This window comes from Homo sapiens, chromosome 4 (assembly GCF_000001405.40).
Source record: "Homo sapiens chromosome 4, GRCh38.p14 Primary Assembly".
Lineage (NCBI taxonomy): Eukaryota > Metazoa > Chordata > Mammalia > Primates > Hominidae > Homo > Homo sapiens.
The window spans coordinates 35,858,933-35,877,631 of NC_000004.12; the positions used below are offsets into that span (position 1 = coordinate 35,858,933).

Below are 18,699 nucleotides of genomic sequence, written 5' to 3' on the forward strand. Positions count from 1 at the left end.
GTCTGGAGGTGGTTCCTCATGGTCTCACTGACTTCAAGAATGAAGCTGTGGGTCTTCACTGTGAGTGTTATAGCTCTTAAAGATGACATGGACCCAAAGAGTGAGTGGTAGCAAGGTTTATTGTGAAGAGCAAAAGAACAAAGCTTCCACAGCATGGAAGGGGACCCAAGCAGGTTGCCACTGCTATCTAGGGGTTGCCAGTTTTTATTCCCTTATTGGCCCTCCCATGTTCCATTTCTGTCCTATCAGAGTGCCCTTTTTTCAATCCTCCCTGCGAATGGCTACTTTTAGGATCCTGATGATTGGTGCATTTTACAGAGTGCTGATTGGTGCGGTTTATAGAGCACTGATTGGTGCTTTTTACGAGCAATGATTGGTGCATTTTACAATCCTCTTGCTAGCTACAGAGTGCTGATTGGTGCGTTTTTACAGAGCAGTGATTGGTGCATTTTACAATCCTCTTGTAAGACAGAAAAGTTCTCCAAGTCCCCACTGAACCCAGGAAGTCCAGCTGGCTTCGCCTGTCAATCCCCCCATTATACAGGACACCCCAAATGCTGTTGGGAACTGGGCAATGACTGTTCTAACTACTTCCTGCTGGATAGGGGCAAAGAAGGGGCCCTGCAGTTGTAGCATCCTCCAGAGGGGAACTCTCTAGGCCAGTCAAAGGGCCAGTGAGTCGGTCCAGAGGTCCTCAGTAGAAGTTGTGAGTTGCGCTCATTTGGGGTTCCATTTGTACGACCATCTGTAGCTTGATGGCCTCAATCCTGGAGGAAACAAATTTGACAGGGAGGTTAAAAATACAGGTCCCAAAGGCGAGTAATAGCAAGATGACTGTTACAGGACCTAGAAAGGGGAGAAGCCATGTCACCCAACTCTAGAGGTTGGTATAAGAGTTTGAAAGGCATTGTCTGATTTCAGAAGCCTTTTCCTGTAAATGCCGGGTGGCATCTCATACTATCCCTGACTGGTTAGGAACTCACTTTCTTTTTATATTGCAGCATGGGCATGTAGAATTAGATAAGCATATTTGCTATGTGTATATACACACTTATTCTTTTGCCTTTCCCAGTTCTAAGGCACAGGTAAGTGCCACTAGTTCTGCTAACTGGGCGCTGGTCCCTGGGGGAAGAGGCTTACTTTCAAGTGCTCTTACATCATTAACTATGGCATAACCTGCCCTTTGTATCCCATTTTCTACAAATGAACTTCCATTGGTATATAAGTTAAGGTCAGCATTAGCTAAGGGGCCTTCTAAGAGATCCTCTCGGGTGAGATGAGTCTGAGCTACAATTTGATGGCAGTTATGCTCTATTGGTTCCCCATCCTCTGGGAGAAAAATATCAGGGTTTATGGCTGCACACATGCATATTTGAAGCACTGGTCCCTCAAGGAGTAGTGCCTGGTATCTAAGCAGACTGTTGTCTGATAACCATAAACTTCCTTTGGCACATAGTATGCCATTTACATCATGAGTAGTCCAGACAGTGAGATCCTTTCCTTGTATTATTTTGATAGCCTCTGATACTAAGATGGCCACTGCCTCAAATACCCATAAACAGTGAGGCCAGCCTTTCACTACTACATCAGTTTCCTTACTAAGGTATGCCACTGGGTGTGGGGTTGTCCCATGAGTCTGAGTAAGCACTCCAAGAGCTATTCCTGCTGTCTGTGGTGTATAAAGAGAAGTTTTGTCCTGTGGGAAGGCTTAAGGCTGGAGCTTGTACTAGGGCCTGCTTTAAGGTTTTGAAGGCTGTTTCTGCCTCTGGTTCCCATTCTATTAGATGAGTATTTGCCCTCTGGGTCTCCTTGATTAGCATATAGAGTGGCCTGGCCATCTCGCTGTATCCAGGGGTCCATAGTTGACAAAAGCCAGTGATCCCAAGGAACACCCCCACAACTATTTTAATGTTTTAGGGTGAGGATAGGCCAGTATAGGCTGTATTCATTCCTTGCTAAGGGCCCTGGTTCCCCTGGCTAAGATTAGGCCTAGATATTTGACTTTTTGTAGGCAGAGCTGGGCCTTCGATTTAGACATCTTGTACCCTTGCTTAGCTAGAAAGTTCAAGAGATCTAGAGTAGTCTGCTGGCATGAGGCTTCTGAACTGGTATCCAAAAGTAAATCATCCACATACTGAAGGACCAGAGTGCCTGGACTTAAGAAGTGGCCTGGATCTTGGGCCGGTATCTGACCAAACAGATGAGGGCTGTCCCTAAACCCTTGGGGCAAGATCATCCATGTAAGTTGGGACGTGTGTTCCATGGGACCCTAAAAGGCAAAGAGAAACTGGGACTCAGACTGGAGGGGTATGCAGAAGAAGGCATCCTTGAGGTCCAGAACAGTGAACCATTCTGCTTCCTCTGGTATTTGAGAGAGCAGGGTATAGGAGTCGGGTACAATGGGATATAGAGGAATTACTGCTTCATTGATGAGTCTGAGATCTTGTAGTAGTCTCCACTGACCATTCGGTTTTTGGACTGCTAGAATTGGGGTGTTGCAGGGACTGCTGCATTTTCTTACTAAGCCTTGAGGTTTTAAATGTCTAACTATATCCTATAATCCTTTATGAGCTTCAGGCCTTAACAGATATTGCCTTTGATAAGGAAAAGTGGTGGGGTCTTTTAGCCTGATTTGGACTGGGTGGACATTTTTTGCCCTCCAAATTGTACTTCCAATGCCCAGACTTCAGGGTTGATTCCCTCCTCAAATAGGGGACAACAAACTTGTTCTCCATATTCATGTAGATAATAGCTCCAGCTTTGGCTAATATGTCCCTCCCTAATAAGGGTGTGGGACTTTCAGGCATAACAAGGATGGCATGTGAAAAGAGCAAAGTCTCCCAATTACAACTGAGGAGGTAGGAGAATACCTGGTTACAGGCTGTCCCAGGATTTCGATGGTAATGGACCTTGAGGACAACCATATAGGCAGGAGATTAACACTGAGAAGGCCGCGCCAGTGTCCAGGAGGGAGTCAATTTCCTGGCCCTCAAAGGTTAAACTTACCTGGGGCTCAGTGAGGATGATGACATGAGCTGGCACTTGCCCCGGGCACCCTCAGTCCTATTGTTGGATCATCTGGTTGGGGGCTTCTGGGCCAGAGAACCTTTGCCCTCTGGGGCAGTGCACCTTCCAGTGATTGCCTTGGCACAGTGGTCATGGGCAAGGGGGTGGCTTGTTTCTCATTGGACAATCTTTTTTAATGTGTCCTTGCAAACCGCACTGATAACAAACCCTACCGGGTGATTGGCTTGCTCCATTTTCTGTCCTCTCTGAACCAAGGTTTGTCTGTCTGAAGGCCATGACTAAGGCTGCAGCCTTTCTCTGATCTCACTTTTCCTTTCTGGCCTGTTCCTCTTGGTCCCTATTATAGAACACCGAGGTTGCTGGGTTTAATAATGCTTCCAGATTTTGGTCAGGGCCCGTGGCTCACTTTTGGAGCTTTCTCCTGATATCTGTGGCTGATTGGGTAATAAACTTATCTTTTACTATCAATTGACCCTCGAAGGAGTTGGGTGACAGGGGAGTATATTTGATTAAGTCCTCCCATAGCCACTCAAGGAAGGTGGAAGGATTTTCTTCCTTTCCCTGAATTATGGTGGACATCATTGAATAATTCATGGGCCTTTTCCTAATTCTCTGGTGGACATCACTGAATAATTCATGGGCTTTTTCCTAATTCTCCTTAGTCCTTCTAGAACACAGGTCAACAGAAGTGTACGACTCCAGTCCCCATGATTTGAGTCTAGGTCCCAGTGGGGATCCATACTGGGGATGGCTTGCTGTCTGGTAGGGAATTTGCCCCTTTCTTCGGCTATCATTCTATCATTTACTTGACTAAGATACCAGGTATCTCCAAACTCTTGGGCTTCAGCTAAAGCTGCATTCTTTTCATTAAAGGCCAGGGTTTGATCTAACAATAGCATGACATCTCTCCAAGTGAGGTCTGAGGTTTGCCTTTGTCCCTGTAGGACATCTATATACCTATCAGGATTATCTGAAAACTTCCCCAGGTCTACCTTGATCTGCTTTAAATCAGAGAGGGAGAAGGGGACATGTACCAAGCTTGGGCCAAATTCCCCTCCCCATACAGCTTGAAGGGGACATAACCAATAGTCCAGGGGTTTTTGTGGTCCCTTGGAGATTTCTTTGCTTGTTTCCTTCTGGGTGGGGGAGATTAGAGGAGGCTTATCATTATTAGGAAGGGGAGCTGTAAGGAGGCTAAGATATGGAGGTAAGCTGAGAGGTCCTCTTGAGGAATGTAAATTGCAAGCTTTGCATAGTTTTGGATTATCCTTCAATGAAAAGAAAGCTTGGACATAATGTATTTCACTCCATTTACCTTCTCTCTTACAGAAAAGGTCAAGCTGCACAACAGTATTATAATTTATACATCCCTCAGGTGGCCCTTTTTCCCCATCAGAGAGAGAATATTGGGGCCAGGCCATAGTGCAGAAAAAAATAAGCTGCTTCTTTTTCAGGGTTTGCAGGTCAAATTGGTCCCAATGGCTTAAGATGCATTTCAAGGGTGAACCCGTTAATGCCTGAGTGTTTCCCATCTGAAAGAAAAAACCACCCGTGGTTTTGTTTTCTTTATTTATTTTTTTCCCTGCCAAAGACCCCACAACAGTACCTGGACCCTGCTGTTTGGAATAGTTGCACTCACCAAACCAGCAGTGGAAACACTAGTTTTCCTCCTAGACCACAAAGAGGACCGAGGAAGTCAGATTTAGTGGCCCTTACCGGTGCATTCTTGAAAATGTGTTAGAGTCCTAAACATTTTCTCCTGTTGGTATTGGGACCTTATCCTTGTCCTATAAAGATGATATGCCTCAAAATGGAGTGGAGGGCCATACCCTGAGGGAGGGAAGGGATCTCCAGGGTTGGAATGCCTTTTGTCCTCACTTCTCATCATATGAATAGGAAGGATATCCCCACAAAGGCTCCCCATATCTTAGCTTCAGGAATACCCTTTGTTAGCCCTGTTAGTCTGAGGAGGGATCCTAGAATTCCAGATAGTCTCCCCACTCCGAAGGGGCTTCAGGCAAAAATTATGTCTTTCTGAATGGTGAGCCCAGGTGCCTAAAGATGGGAAACAGAGTCCCAACATTTATACTAGAAATCATTCTTATAGGAGAAACTAGAAGAGCACCAGAGACAGGGAGTGGGTTTCAGAAGCAGGACTAGCCTCGAGGAAGAGAGGCCGGAGGATGTTTGTCTAACAGGCATTAGGACCCAGGAGGCAAGGGTCCAGATAGAATAGATGGGCCAGTCTCTCTTGGGTGACATAACTTTGAGAGTTCCGCTCATGGCTGGAGGGTCAACCAACCTTTTGTCAGGACCCTGGAGCCAAATGGCTTTCCTCTCTGTTGACCCTCGGCTCAGCCCAGAAATGCAGGAAAACCAGAAGCTGGTTCCAGGCAAACCAACATTCCCAACTCTGAAGAATCAGGGGTTGTTAGAGAGCCCTTTCCCAGAAAGCCTAACACCCGTGTCTTTAGTCTGGCTGCTGTGCTAGTCACTTTTAACTGGCCGACAGATGTCCAGTGTTTAGCCCCTGAATTCTAAGGAAAAATAGGACAGAATAGCAAGCGAAAAGCATCCGATGGTACTCACTGCATGGCAAACTCCTGGACAATCCACCAAGGTGTGTCCAGAGTTGGTTCCTTCCTGTGGGTTCGTGGTCTCACTGACTTGAAGAATGGAGCCACGGACCTTCGCAGTGACTGTTACAGCTCGTAAAGATAGCACGGACCCAAAGAGTGAGTGATAGCAAGGTTTATTGTGAAGAACAAAAGAAAAAAGCTTCCACAGCATCGAAGGGGACATAAGTGGGTCCCCAGCTGCTGGCTGGGGGTTGCCAGCTTTTATTCCCTTATTGGCCCCTCCCATATTTCATTTCTGTCCTATCAGAGTGCCCCTTTTTCAATCATCCCTGTGATTGGCTACTTTTAGGATCCTGCTGATTAGTGTGTTTCACAGAGCTCTGATTGGTGCATTTTACAGTCTTCTTGTAAGACAGAAAAGTTCTCCAAGTCCCCACTTGACCCAGGAAGTCCAGCTGGCTTCACCTCTCAAAATGATGTTAGATCTGCAGGAGCCCAGAATGCAAGAGTGGTGGGGGCTTGGCAGCTTTCACCTAGATTTCAGAGGATGAATCAGAAAGCCTGGATGCCCAGACAGAAGCCTGCTGCAAGGTTAGAGCCCTACGGAGAGCCTTTAGTAAGGCAATGCTGAGCAGAAATGTGGTGTTGGGGCTCCCACAGAGTCCCCACCAGGATAGTTCCTAGTGAAGCTATGGAAATGGGGCCACTCCCCTCCAGACCCCAGAATGATAGAGCCACCAGGAGAATACAATCTCAACCTAGAAAAGCCACAGGTGGCCAGGAGTAGGGGCTCACACCTGTAATACCAGCACTTTGGGAGGCCGAGGTGGACAGATCAGTTGAGGTCAGCAATTCGAGACCAGCCTGGCCAATGCGGCGAAACCTTTTCTCTCCAGAAAAAAAAAAAAAAAAAGGAAAAATTAGCTGGGTGGGTGGCAGGTGCCTGTAATCCCAGCTAGCCAGGAAGCTGAGGTAGAAGAATCAATTGAACACTTGAACCCAGGAAGCAGAGTTTGCAGTGAGCCGAGATAGCACCACTGCACTCTAGTCTGGGCAACAGAGAGAAACTCCATCTCAAAAAAAAGAAAAAAGAAAAGAAAAGAAAAGAAAAGCCACATGCTTTGGATGCCAAACTGTGAAAGCAGCCACGTTGAAGCAGCACCAGAAAAGCCACAGAGACAGGGCTGCCCTAGGCCTTGAGAACCGACCACTCACACCAGTGTAGCCAGGATGGAGGACATGGAGTCAAAGGAATTTATTTTGGAGCTTTCAGGCTTAATATCGTCCCTGCTGGGTGGGGTCTCTCACCCCTTTCTTTTTACTGAATTCTCCATTTCAAAATAGGAATGGTTATGTGATGCCTGTACAATCATTGTATCTTGGTTATAAATAACTCATTTTTGATTTCACAGGCTCATAGCTGTAAGAAATTTGCCTTGAGTTTCAGAAGAGACTTAGGACTTGGGACTTTTGAGTTAATTCTGGAACAAGTTAAGACTTTTGGGGACTATTGAGAAAAAATGATTGTGAGAAGAATATGAGTTTTGGTGGGGGGCAAGGGAACATGCTATGTTTTGATATTTGACTGTAAATCTCATGTTGGTATTTGATCCCTAGTGTTGGAGGTGGGTCCTAATGGGGAGTGTTTGGGTCATGGGGTTGGATACTTCATGAATATCTTGATGCCATCCTCACAGTAATGAGTGAGTTCTCACTTTATTAGTTCTCATAAGAGCTGGTTGTTAAAATGAGCTAGGGACCTCCTTCCTCTTCCTCTTGCTTCCTCTCTCACCATGTGATTGCCATACACTATGGATCTCTTTCACCTTCCACCATGAGTAGAAGTCTGAGGACTCCACTGGAAGAGCAAGCAGATGTTGGCACCACACTTCTTGTACAGCCTGCAGAACTGTGAACCAAATAAACCTCTTTCCTGCGTAAATTACTCAGCCTCAGGTATTTCTTTATAGCAACACTAAACAGACTGAGGCACAGGGATGCTGCAAATATGTATGCAATACCTACTCTGCCCCAAGGATACTATGCAAACATTGTCTCATTTATTCCTCACAAAACTGATGGGCTTAATTTCTTTAAGTAGTTTTTGACTCTTTAAAAGTATATAAATAGTTGTAATACTTTATTTTAGATACTTTAAAGGCTGGTCATGGTTAAATGACTTGACTTAATTTATATACTATTACATAGTCAGTAAATGGCACTTGGATTTTGGAACTCAGGTCTGCAGACTGTAAATCTGCTTGATTCTTGTTACTACTTTGGGCAAAAGCTATCCAATAAAATAGAGGTCCTAAAATTATATAATTTTAGAGGAAGGCTGATAATATAAATATGGGATGTTGGCCATGTATAAGACAAAGGAAGGGCTATAAGAAATATTCCATTTTCCCTCTGACTCAGAAAGAAAAACAATAGCACAAGTGCTCTAATAACAATTGACAACTGGCCACAGTATTAGGGTGCAATAGGGATTGGTAGGAGCTGTGATGAACCACAGGCAAGGTGACCTCAACTCAGCCAATAAACACTATGCTCAAAAAAAAGATCACTGGTATCAAAACTTCTGATATTTTTTTCAAGAGAAGTGTTATCCACACATATAAGTGGAATCTCTCAGTTCTAATTAAGAATGAGATATAAATACTGTGTAGGCCAACACTGTATGAGTCAAACAAAATACATCTGTGGACCATCTGTGGCCCTCTAGCTGCCAGTTTGCAACCTCTGATAGGAAAACATACTCAGTATAACACTTAAATTTGTTAAGGGCAAACATAGCATGGAGCCAAGAGAGGCAGAACTGAGATGAAAGAATAAAATGTTTCCAAATGTATTTATTTTTCTTCTCCTTTTTCCATTATTTGAAAAACAGTATATAAAGCAATGAGCAATATCTTTAAAGGGGAGGGTAAACCCTGTTCAACAGACTGTTTAATAAATTAAGAATAATTGTATCACACCTAGATACGTTTTAAAAATGTGAACTCCATTCTAGAAAGTAAGGCTAAACAAAAACTGATGTAGTGGAATTATCCTGTTATTTAATGTTTTTGGTAATTTCATTTCAAATTTATACAAAATTACAGAAATGGTCTGTGTAACTTGATGATTCCAAGTTGACTTTAAATGACATGGGTGTTTTTCTCAGGCTGATTGTACTGCAGATAAATTTATGTATGTATACAGATGTAAAAGAAGTAAATGTAAACACACACACACACACACACACACACGCACACACACACACAGAGTAAGGTTACCCTTCAACAAATTTTAAACATTTACTCCTGTCATATTCATATGGTACTTAAAACTTCAAATGTACTACTTCTGGCATTGTATATTCTATACAATTTAATATATGAGACAGTGTGATATCCTATAATGAATTTAAAATTAAGATACAAATGTAGATAGGTGCATGGAATAACAAAAAGAACATGAAACAATGATTTTTTTCCGCTGTTGTTCATACTCTGCCTTTTAAGTCCAATCATAAACTCTATAGTGGGCGCTGTATTGTTACTGAGATTATATTCTACCAATAATATTCATTGGAATTCTGGGCTGCAAAGAATAGGTAAAATACATGTCCCAGAATTTCAATTTTTTGAGAAAACATTTGCTTTATGGATGAAAAAGCAACTTTGCTCTTAGGTTTAGGGAGAAATGAAGCAAACTCATATCTTGGCTCTGAATTATTTGTGAAAAAATCGTGCTTATGGTCTCAAAATGGAAGAAGTACATTACTGTGTAAAAATAAAGCTAGCAGTGCATTTTTTTTCTGTGAAGACAGCAAATACGTAAGCATCACTGGTTTCTAGTTTTCCTTTTATGAAAATAATAGCTCAATGCTGCTTCAAGGTTATATTATTTAAAAGATATACTGTGTGTGCAAACAGAGTACCTGTGAAGCTTTACAAAACATGTGTCTAAAACAGAGCTGTTTAGTTTGACAGAGTTTCAAATGCCAAGAGATTGTGTTGAATGCAAAATCAAGTTCTGAAAGTGAAGAGCTGAAAGGTAGTTGGATGGGTTTGAATCTTGACAAGGTTCAGCACTTCTTCATCTCAAGATGACAATCAACACATCCAAGATTCCTCTCAAGGTTTTCTAAACGGTGCCTTGGGATTGTCCATTAAGAAGCTTTTTGGTCTAATGCTTATATATTATACAAGGTATAATATACAAGGTAAATGCTTGTATTTTTTTAATCACAAGTACTATATCATTGTGCAATGTATTACATAGATGAAATAATTCAACACTCAAATTCTAAGAGATGAAAAATATGCCAAAGTGTTTCATTTCGCTGAATACACTGATACCTACAATCTGATAGTGCCCATAGGTATGCTTATTAGTGAAAGCTGGATAGAGAATGTGAAAATGCAGAAAGCATAATCCAGCCACACTTTGAATGGAGTTCAGAAAAACAGAATCCTTTCCTGTATTTCACTCTCCTGTAACTCCAGAACCTACCAGTAGGTTGGGAAAATAGTTAAACCTTAATACAGACTGGTATATAGATACAGAAATGAATGACACACACTCACACACACACACACACACACACAAATCATAATTTAAGATGTGTTATGAACACATAAAAAATCTAGGGTAACTGATTTCTAATCAGCATTCATAGGCCTGTGGGTAATATGCCAAAAAAGTGTTGAATCTGACTCCAGAGATCTGGGGCCAAGCAATGCCCAGCAGCCACACCTCCAAATTAGGAATCTGTCATTCCCTCATTTCCAAATACCTCATCAAGAAGCATAGATTAAGATGTCAATGTTACCTTATATTTAACCTTAAATTTGCTCTGTTAGCAAAAATTAGAGTAATACAATTTCCATATGAAAAGGAGGACTGGTCACATTGCTCACTGCTCACTGCTCTAGCTAGAGATGTCTAGACTGTGCACCATTCTCTGACTTTTCCTTCGCTCCCACCAGGTCCACATTCTTTTGCCAGAACATGAGGATGTACTTTTTTAGCTTACCTACTAGATAGTCCTGGAACTCTAATCTATGAAGTCCTAGGATGCCCTGAATCATGCCTGAAGAGATATAGATGAATGGACCTATGTCCCATGAAACTAGAATATGATCTGTTTCATTGCATTGCACTATAAATGTGTAATGGAAGGAATAAAAGAGAAAGGGCAAGAGAGGCAGGGAAAGGAAGAAAGAGGAAAGGCAGAAAAATATTTATATGAATTGGTTGAACCAATCACTACAAAACACACTTTTTGTAAATATTGTGTTATCATGTATTTAGTAAGAAATTTAATTTGATATATAAGGTAGAGTGCTAACCTAAGAAGAGTTTAGGATTAAGATTTATTTATTTATTCCCAAAACTTCTTGTTTGCTACCTATGAGAATTTAGAAAACTTAATGTCTGTGAATGCCAGCATTCTCATTAACTTGATAAATATAAGCATATCCATCTGAAAACTTTGCTGAGGGAATTAAAGAAACTCATCTATGTGAAAGAGATGGGCTGGCATATCACCAACATGCATCTCTCATTTCTGTATAATACTGAAAATCCAAAACTTCTCAGTTTATTTGACTTCCATAAATTTTCCACTTATGACTTTATATCTAGACCAATTCGTACCTCAAGTCTCTGAAGCCCAATTATGGAGGATGAAAGCTAAGGATATGGATTTAAATGTAATCAAATTCTCTTAAACTACATTATAAATGGTGAAACAGCAGCAAAAACACACCCACTCTGACCACAGGCATCTAATCATCTTGAAGATAACGAGATTTACCTGGCAAGTTTATCTGGCCCAATAAAGCAATTTTTCTCCAGCTAAGTGTCAGGAATTACATCCATTAGTAAGTAATCTGTGAAAAGAGAAACAATTTAGGTTGCAATGTCTGATTGCTAGAGCTATGCTAATCTTTCAATTCCCAACTCCGTCTGCTTTACAATGACATCTCCTTTTGCTACCTGTCTGTTTCTCAGTGAAAAAGGAAACGTGTTCTTTACCATGCTTTTTTTTTTCCCCTTGGTCAGTGCCAAAGATCAAACATCCTGATTTCTATTGCAATTTAATGCCACTTCTCTTGTTTCCCATACCTATTTGGTCTACTTCTATTAAAGGATGTAATTTCCCACATAGTTGCGTATGAGTGGTTTTGAGGAACAGTCTCTCCATAATCATTACATTAAAATATTTTTTAAAAAATTAAGCATAGAAAATTATATTTTGGATAGGTAAAATTTTTTTAGCTAAATTTGTTGCAGAGTAACTCCACTGTATATTAGCTTTTGTGAAAGTTTAAATAAAATGAGCAGAGACCAGTTGAAACTCAGACACAATTGAACCTGAGACGTAAGTACTGGAGACTAGAACTGGCAACACAAAGCATCAATCAACCCCAGGACAGCCTAACATTTAATAAACTGCTGACATTGATGAGCATACGAGATTTCCAGGTTCATAATTAAACAAACAAAAACTGAGCTGAGATTATGTCACACTGGGATCCTTAACTATAACTTTCCCTTTCTGAGATCAAACAAAACATAGTAGTTTAGAACAACCATTCTGGAGTTAGAAGTTTTACATTTTAATTCTAGCTTCACAGTGTACTAGCTGAGAGACCTCGTTCAAGTGACTTGATCTAAAATCTTAGTTACTCATATGAAAAATAATGATCCTAATGGTAACTTTCTTATAAGACTGTTGTAAAAATTGAGTTAAACAAAACATAATAAAGTATTTGAATGGTGATTTAAGTGCTCAATAAAGGTTTAAATTTTTTAAATGAGCAGGTTAATTATAGTCAGACTGTTTCTTAGTGAATTAGGTTAAAGGAATGAGAGAGAACTATTTCCAAGGTGGGGACATATCTACCACTCAAATTAGAGAGTTTCTGCGGAGAGTTTTTATCCCTAGTTCATAGTATCATCAACCATGTCAAGTATTAGACAAGTTTTTCTAAATTCTTTTTCTATTTCATAGCAGAACAACCAGTTCGTACTGGTTTCTTTAGACAGGGTACGATGGATCAAACTGTATCATCTCAAAATTAGTATATTGAAGTTCTAACTCCTAGTACCTTAAAATGTGACCTTATTTAGAAATATGGAGTAGGGTTGGTCCCTAATTCCATACAAGTGTTTCCTTATAATAAGGGATATTTGGAGATAGGCATGCACAGAGTAAGATGAAGGCAGAAAGGGTAGTGCAGAAGTCAAGGATCGCCCAAGATTGCCAGCAAATCTCCAGAAGCTGGGGGAGAGGCTTGGGACAGTTCCTTCCCTCACTGCCCTCAGGAAGAATCAACCCTGGGTTGATTCATCTCCTGGGTCAGGTGACTCCTTCCTTTAGGAAGAAGCTGACCATATAACAGCTCAGCTGATCACAACAGAGGAGGGATTTGCATGGAAAGGCAATCATCATCATGTTCCTTTATTTCCAAGTCCTAACGATCTGAACTCCGCTACACCCTCCCAGTACTGACAACACCTTCCAAGTCTCCTCTTTTTCTTTCCACAGCTCTGATTCTGCTGAGGTTCCACCTTAACTTTCATCATGAGTCCTAACTCTGTGGCCAGTGACCTTACCAACAGCTTCATCTCAGATTTTTGGCCTGGACTGTGAGACAACACATTTCTACGTAGTTCAGGTACTTTCTTACAGCAGCTCTAGAGGGCCCTATGTAGAGTATAACTTTCAACTTAATTGAAAGCAACTTGTACTGGCCTAGAATTATTTTGCTTTTTAATGTACTTTGGCCATCTCTACTCTGATTTATTAGTAACATTTCAACTCTCAGAAAGTGTATGTATCAGTCAGCATCCCAGTAAGAAACAGGCAACACTCACAGCTGAGATGTTTGTGAAAATGAAAGATCTATCTGCAAGAGATATAGACAAGTTTAAGGAAAACCACAGATGTGTTGAGACACCCAAGAAGTAGCAATAGCAATCAGCTGATACCACCCCCCTAGCACTGATAGAGAAAGAAGAGAAAATGGAATCACTAAAGTCTGGGTCATAATATAAATGCTACCAGGCAGAAGCCGCCCCTTGGCAAGGCATAGCCAGAACCACATTGAATCAGAAATACAGTTGTAGGAAAAAACTACTCTGAGCTACAGGAGTCTCCCGTTAGCTGATGCCAACCAGAAACCAGAGGGAAAGGAGTTCCAGGTGATGCAGATCATAGGAGCAAGCCTTCCTGGGCACAGAGCAAGACAGAGATGGGCAGAGAACAGATCTGAGGGCAAAGGGAAGAGAACAGGATCCAAGGTCCATTACGACCCTTGGGGCTATAAGTAATAAATTGCCAAATTAAAAGTGTATTAAGCAAAATTTAATTAATTTTTTATTTATAAAAAATGTTTGATTATAGAAAATTTTAGAGTTGGTTTAGCAGCTTGACCACACTCAGATAACTAGCAGTTATTGTGGTGCTGAATTTCAAGAGTCTCCTAATTTTTTCTCACGATCGAAGAAGACCTGCATTTCCAAACATCACATCATTACACAAGTGAGCACAACTACAAAAAGGAGACAGTTAGTGAGGTTTCTCACCATTTTTTTTTTGAGAGATAATCTTTCACTCTATTGCCCAGGCTGGAGTGCAGTGGCACAATCATAGCTCACTGCAGCCTTAGACTCTTGGGTTCAAGGTCTTCCCACATCAGCCTCCCAAGTAGCTGAGACTACAAGTGCCCGCAACCACAACCAGCTATTTTTTGTATTTTTTGTAGAGACGGGGGTCTTACTATGTTGCTCAAGCTGGTCTGTGACTCTTGGCCTAAAGCAGTCTACCTGCCTCGGCCTCCCAAAGCATCGAGCTTACTGGCATCTCCAGCCCTCAGCTTTTTCTTTTTACTTCTCTCTTTTTCTAAATATGGTATTTTTTTCCTGGAACAGTCCCCTTTTATCTTATTGGCCACATATGTGTCACAAAACTACCAGGAATCCTAACACTAGCAAAAGGAAATGGAAACATCATGATTGTCTTTTAACTATTCATCTCCTGGGTCAGGTGACTCCTTCCTTTAGGAAGAAGCTGACCATATAACAGCTCAGCTGATCACAACAGAGAAGGGATTTGCATGGAAAGGCAATCATCATCATGTTCCTTTATTTCCAAGTCCTAACGATCTGAACTCCGCTACACCCTCCCAGTACTGACAACACCTTCCAAGTCCCCTCTTTTTCTTTCCACAGCTCTGATTCTGCTGAGGTTCCACCTTAACTTTCATCATGAGTCCTAACTCTGTGGCCAGTGACCTTACCTATCACTTAACCTGTCTCTGCCTCAGTTTACTCATTGAATTGAGGCACAGTATGATTTTAAAATGTGATTGAGTCTTTTATCATCATCATAGTGATACATAGATAAGTGGGAATATATAGAGTTGAGGTAGGCTTCTGCAGTAAGACCAGAGATTTAGCTCAAGAATTAATATCAATATCAATTTTTTAACAAATGAATATTAGTGATAATATAAAAATCATTTCAAAATAAGTGACAGAAAGCCTGACTTTAATCTCATTTCCTACTTACTTGCATTGTGACCTTCATTCAGGAAGTAAAGTCTTGTAAACTCTCTGGGCTTATTTCTTCACCTATTAGATGAAGAGGTTAATTTAGAGTTTTAACCTTATGACTATCTCGCAGAATATCTATGAGCACTTTATGATATTGATTACACTCTGAAATTTAAGATCAATACATAATAGTAACTAACATTTGTTTAGTGTCAACATATTAAATGCTTCTGGGGTGGAGGAGGGGCAGAATTATGAACTATATTTGCTAATTCTCTTAAAGTATGACCTTACACCTTCTTTGAGATTTTTCTCTATTCTTCTTGGTGAATATTAATATGCTAATATACTAACTAGAAATATGACACATGCCCCAGTTTCATAAAGCACAGCTAGCCTAGGTGGTTTAGGTTCATTTTCACATAGTGAGCCAATCTCCTGACACCAGTTGGTTACACGCTTCTGCAGGTGATCACAATACACACTGAAGAGCAAGAGAGATTCCTGTCTTTAGAAAACTTAAAGTCATAGAGTCACAGCTATCATTTCCCCACATGCTCCTCAATTTTGACAGATCCACAGCAGTCAAATTTCATTCTTTAGTGTCTTGAAAAAGTCATCTTCACATTTTCATTTTGGAGGAAAACCAGCCTTAGAACAGTTTAAATAATTTACTTATATAGGGGCCTTTTGTATTTTAAAAGCATAGGCAAGTTCAAAATGCTCTCAATTACATGTTCTTAAGGTTCTCAGTAAATATACCTCCATTTTTGCAGAGTTTATAATACTTTTAAACTATTAAGTTATCAGACTCCCCAAATTATTCAGGAGAAATATTTCCTTCTTAGACTTGTCCTTAAGAAGATCAAACAATACTTAGTCTCCCTGCGGAAATGACAATTGATCCTTTCTTTTTACATGAAACCTACTAACTTTAAATAAGCATCTAAGTCATTTTAATATTTTCTCATCAGAAATCTACATTAAAAATAAGTATGAGGATGGGTTTAAACACCATTTGGTATTTACAGTAGACAGCTGTGGCGCCATCATTTTTCACAATAAGCCTAGAAATATGTATTCTACATTAGTGGAATATTAGATAAATAGAGTTTTACAAGGTGAGGGAATCTATTTATTACATGTGCATGTGAGAATACAGCCTATGTAATCTTCAAATGATAAACAATTTTAAAATACTAAAGCATCTGCACTATTTTATCACTGAATTTAGACACATTTAAAAGCCTCTATGTATTCAACCTTTGCCTTCAATAAATTCACTTGATACATACATAATTAGAATTTTTCCTTTGGAGATATTTCTCAAACTTAACCTTTATTTTAAAAAACGTACTACCACCATTAGGGCTATTTAGAGCAAAAAATATACATCTACTATGATTTGGACTTAATTTATTTACTAGAATTTTTCCTTTCAACCACTTTTGTTCTATGAAATAGGGTGAGCCTATTATGTCAGAAATATTCTGAATCCTTTGACAAGAGGGTCAGATGTGCCTCATGGACTGAGGGTGGAGGTCAAGCTATGAAATTTTCTGTAGTTGGATCAGGTCACTGATCACTAGTGCTGATGTTGGGAGGGGTAAACAAATAAGATTAGAACTCAGTCTTTTGATTCTCATTTCAGAACCCTTTTAGCATTATTACTGATATGTTTGGCTCTGAGTCCCCACCCAAATCTCATCTTCAATTGTAATCCCCACATGTCAAGGGAGGGACCTGGAAGGAGGTGGTTGGATCATGGGGACGGTTTCCCTCCCATGCTATTCGCATGATAATGAGTGAAGAGCTGATGGTTTTAAAAGTGTTTAGCAGTTCCCCCTTTGCTCTCTTTCTCTCTCTCTCTCTCTCATCCCCTCTCTCTCTTCTGCCACCATGTAAGATGTGCCTTGCTTCCCCTTCACCTCCAGTCATGATTGTAAGTTTTCTGAGGCATCCCTACCCAGGTGGAACTGTGAGTCAATTAAACCTCTTTCCTTTAAAAATTTCCCAGTCTCAGGTCATTCTTTATAGCAGTGTGAAAATAGACTAACACAATTACTAATATAGTTCTTCTGTCTCCCATCTGAAATTATGTTTGTCTTGATGTCCTTTCCTTCTTTGACTTCAAAATGACTTCAAAATTTCAACTCAGGAGGGCAATAGTGTCTTGTCTGACTGTAACAGAATTACAACCCTCTTATTGTGTTTTATCTTCAAAGACTTGATATGCTAAAGGTAAGTCTAAGTTGAAACATGGTGAAAGCAATTGTAACAAATGTGGTAGAGCCATTGTTTTCCTGAATGTATCACTAGACATTCAGAATTTATAAGAGAGCAGAATTTGAATAATCTACCATGCTATGTTTCCAATGAGAATGTGCTACAAAGGAAGATGTCATCTGACACACAATCCACAAAACGATGCTACCAGAGTTTGCCTCTGCTCAAGGAAAATGGAACTATCACTTCTTCACTTATCCCAGTTATTGACTCAGTCCTTCATATACTGCCAGAAAGTGTTCTGGGCACTTTAAGGAGGTACTTTTAATCAGTTCTTTACTCAAGCAAGCAAGTTCTTTACACTAAGCAAATGGGGGCCCTGAAAATTGTAGTGAGAAGCACAGAGCCTAGTGTAGAGGGAGAATCAGATTATGTGTCCCTGGTCCACCAAGCACATGCCACAAAACCCTCCCCATTTGTACATCCAAAATGTGGGAGGAGGGTATGGGATGGCCCCTACCCCTCTGAGTGTGTTTCACATGCACCTCCCTAGCTCTTTATCTCTTTCCTTTCTCTCCTCACTTTCCAAATTGCTTTTTTAAAAACATATCTGCTTTGGGTATCCTTCAATAAATTGCAAATCTCAGTGCTTTTACTTTCAAATGTCTTACTAATTTCATATACTTGGTTTTGTACTTGGTGGTTTTCCTCTAGCCAGCACCTTTCAGAATTGCCTAAAAATGTGACATCTGTTCTTCTGACTATTTGCTCATTCTGAATGAGCTGAAGTGAACTGGTCCTCCAGCTTGCTAAGGAGCATGGGAGGGAGAAAACAATGGCAGAGTGACAAAGGGTCTAACTCTTGGCTATGTTTGTTCTTCCCATAAATTCTTGATATTAAAGTCATCTCCCCACCAAAATGGTTGGTTTCTTTCAGAGAACCTTATGTGACCAATGTAAATCACATTAGTACACTAATTATCCATATTGACTATTCCTTGCAAACTAGTGTACTCTTCTAATGAGCCTGTGAGAATATGTATACACTTCTTGACTTGGTCAATATTACATCTTTTCCTCCTTCACTGCCCTCACTGATTCCTGTTGATTTTTTCTAACAAATACTTCTGAAATCCATCTATTTATCTCCATTTGCCCTTTATCTTCTCCAAGACTATGGGAGTTCCTCTTAATTTGTTATCCAGTTTCCTCTTACCGTGTTACCCTAGAACTATGAAGTTAAGGGCACAATCCTCCAGACTGACAAGTCTACTCAGGATTTTTGACCTCTATGGCAAGAAGTTAGTGTCCA

At 40.5% G+C, this 18,699-nt stretch overlaps 1 long non-coding RNA gene across 1 annotated transcript; it reads right to left on the minus strand.

The window, feature by feature from the left end:
• Positions 1–456: 456 nt before the first annotated feature.
• Positions 457–15,293, minus strand: LOC105374396 (uncharacterized). Its single transcript, XR_001741656.2, has 3 exons — positions 15,178–15,293; positions 11,416–11,491; positions 457–767 (listed from the first exon to the last, which is right to left on the minus strand). It is a non-coding gene; the product is annotated as an uncharacterized LOC105374396 (long non-coding RNA).
• Between the last annotated feature and the right edge of the window lie 3,406 nt (positions 15,294–18,699).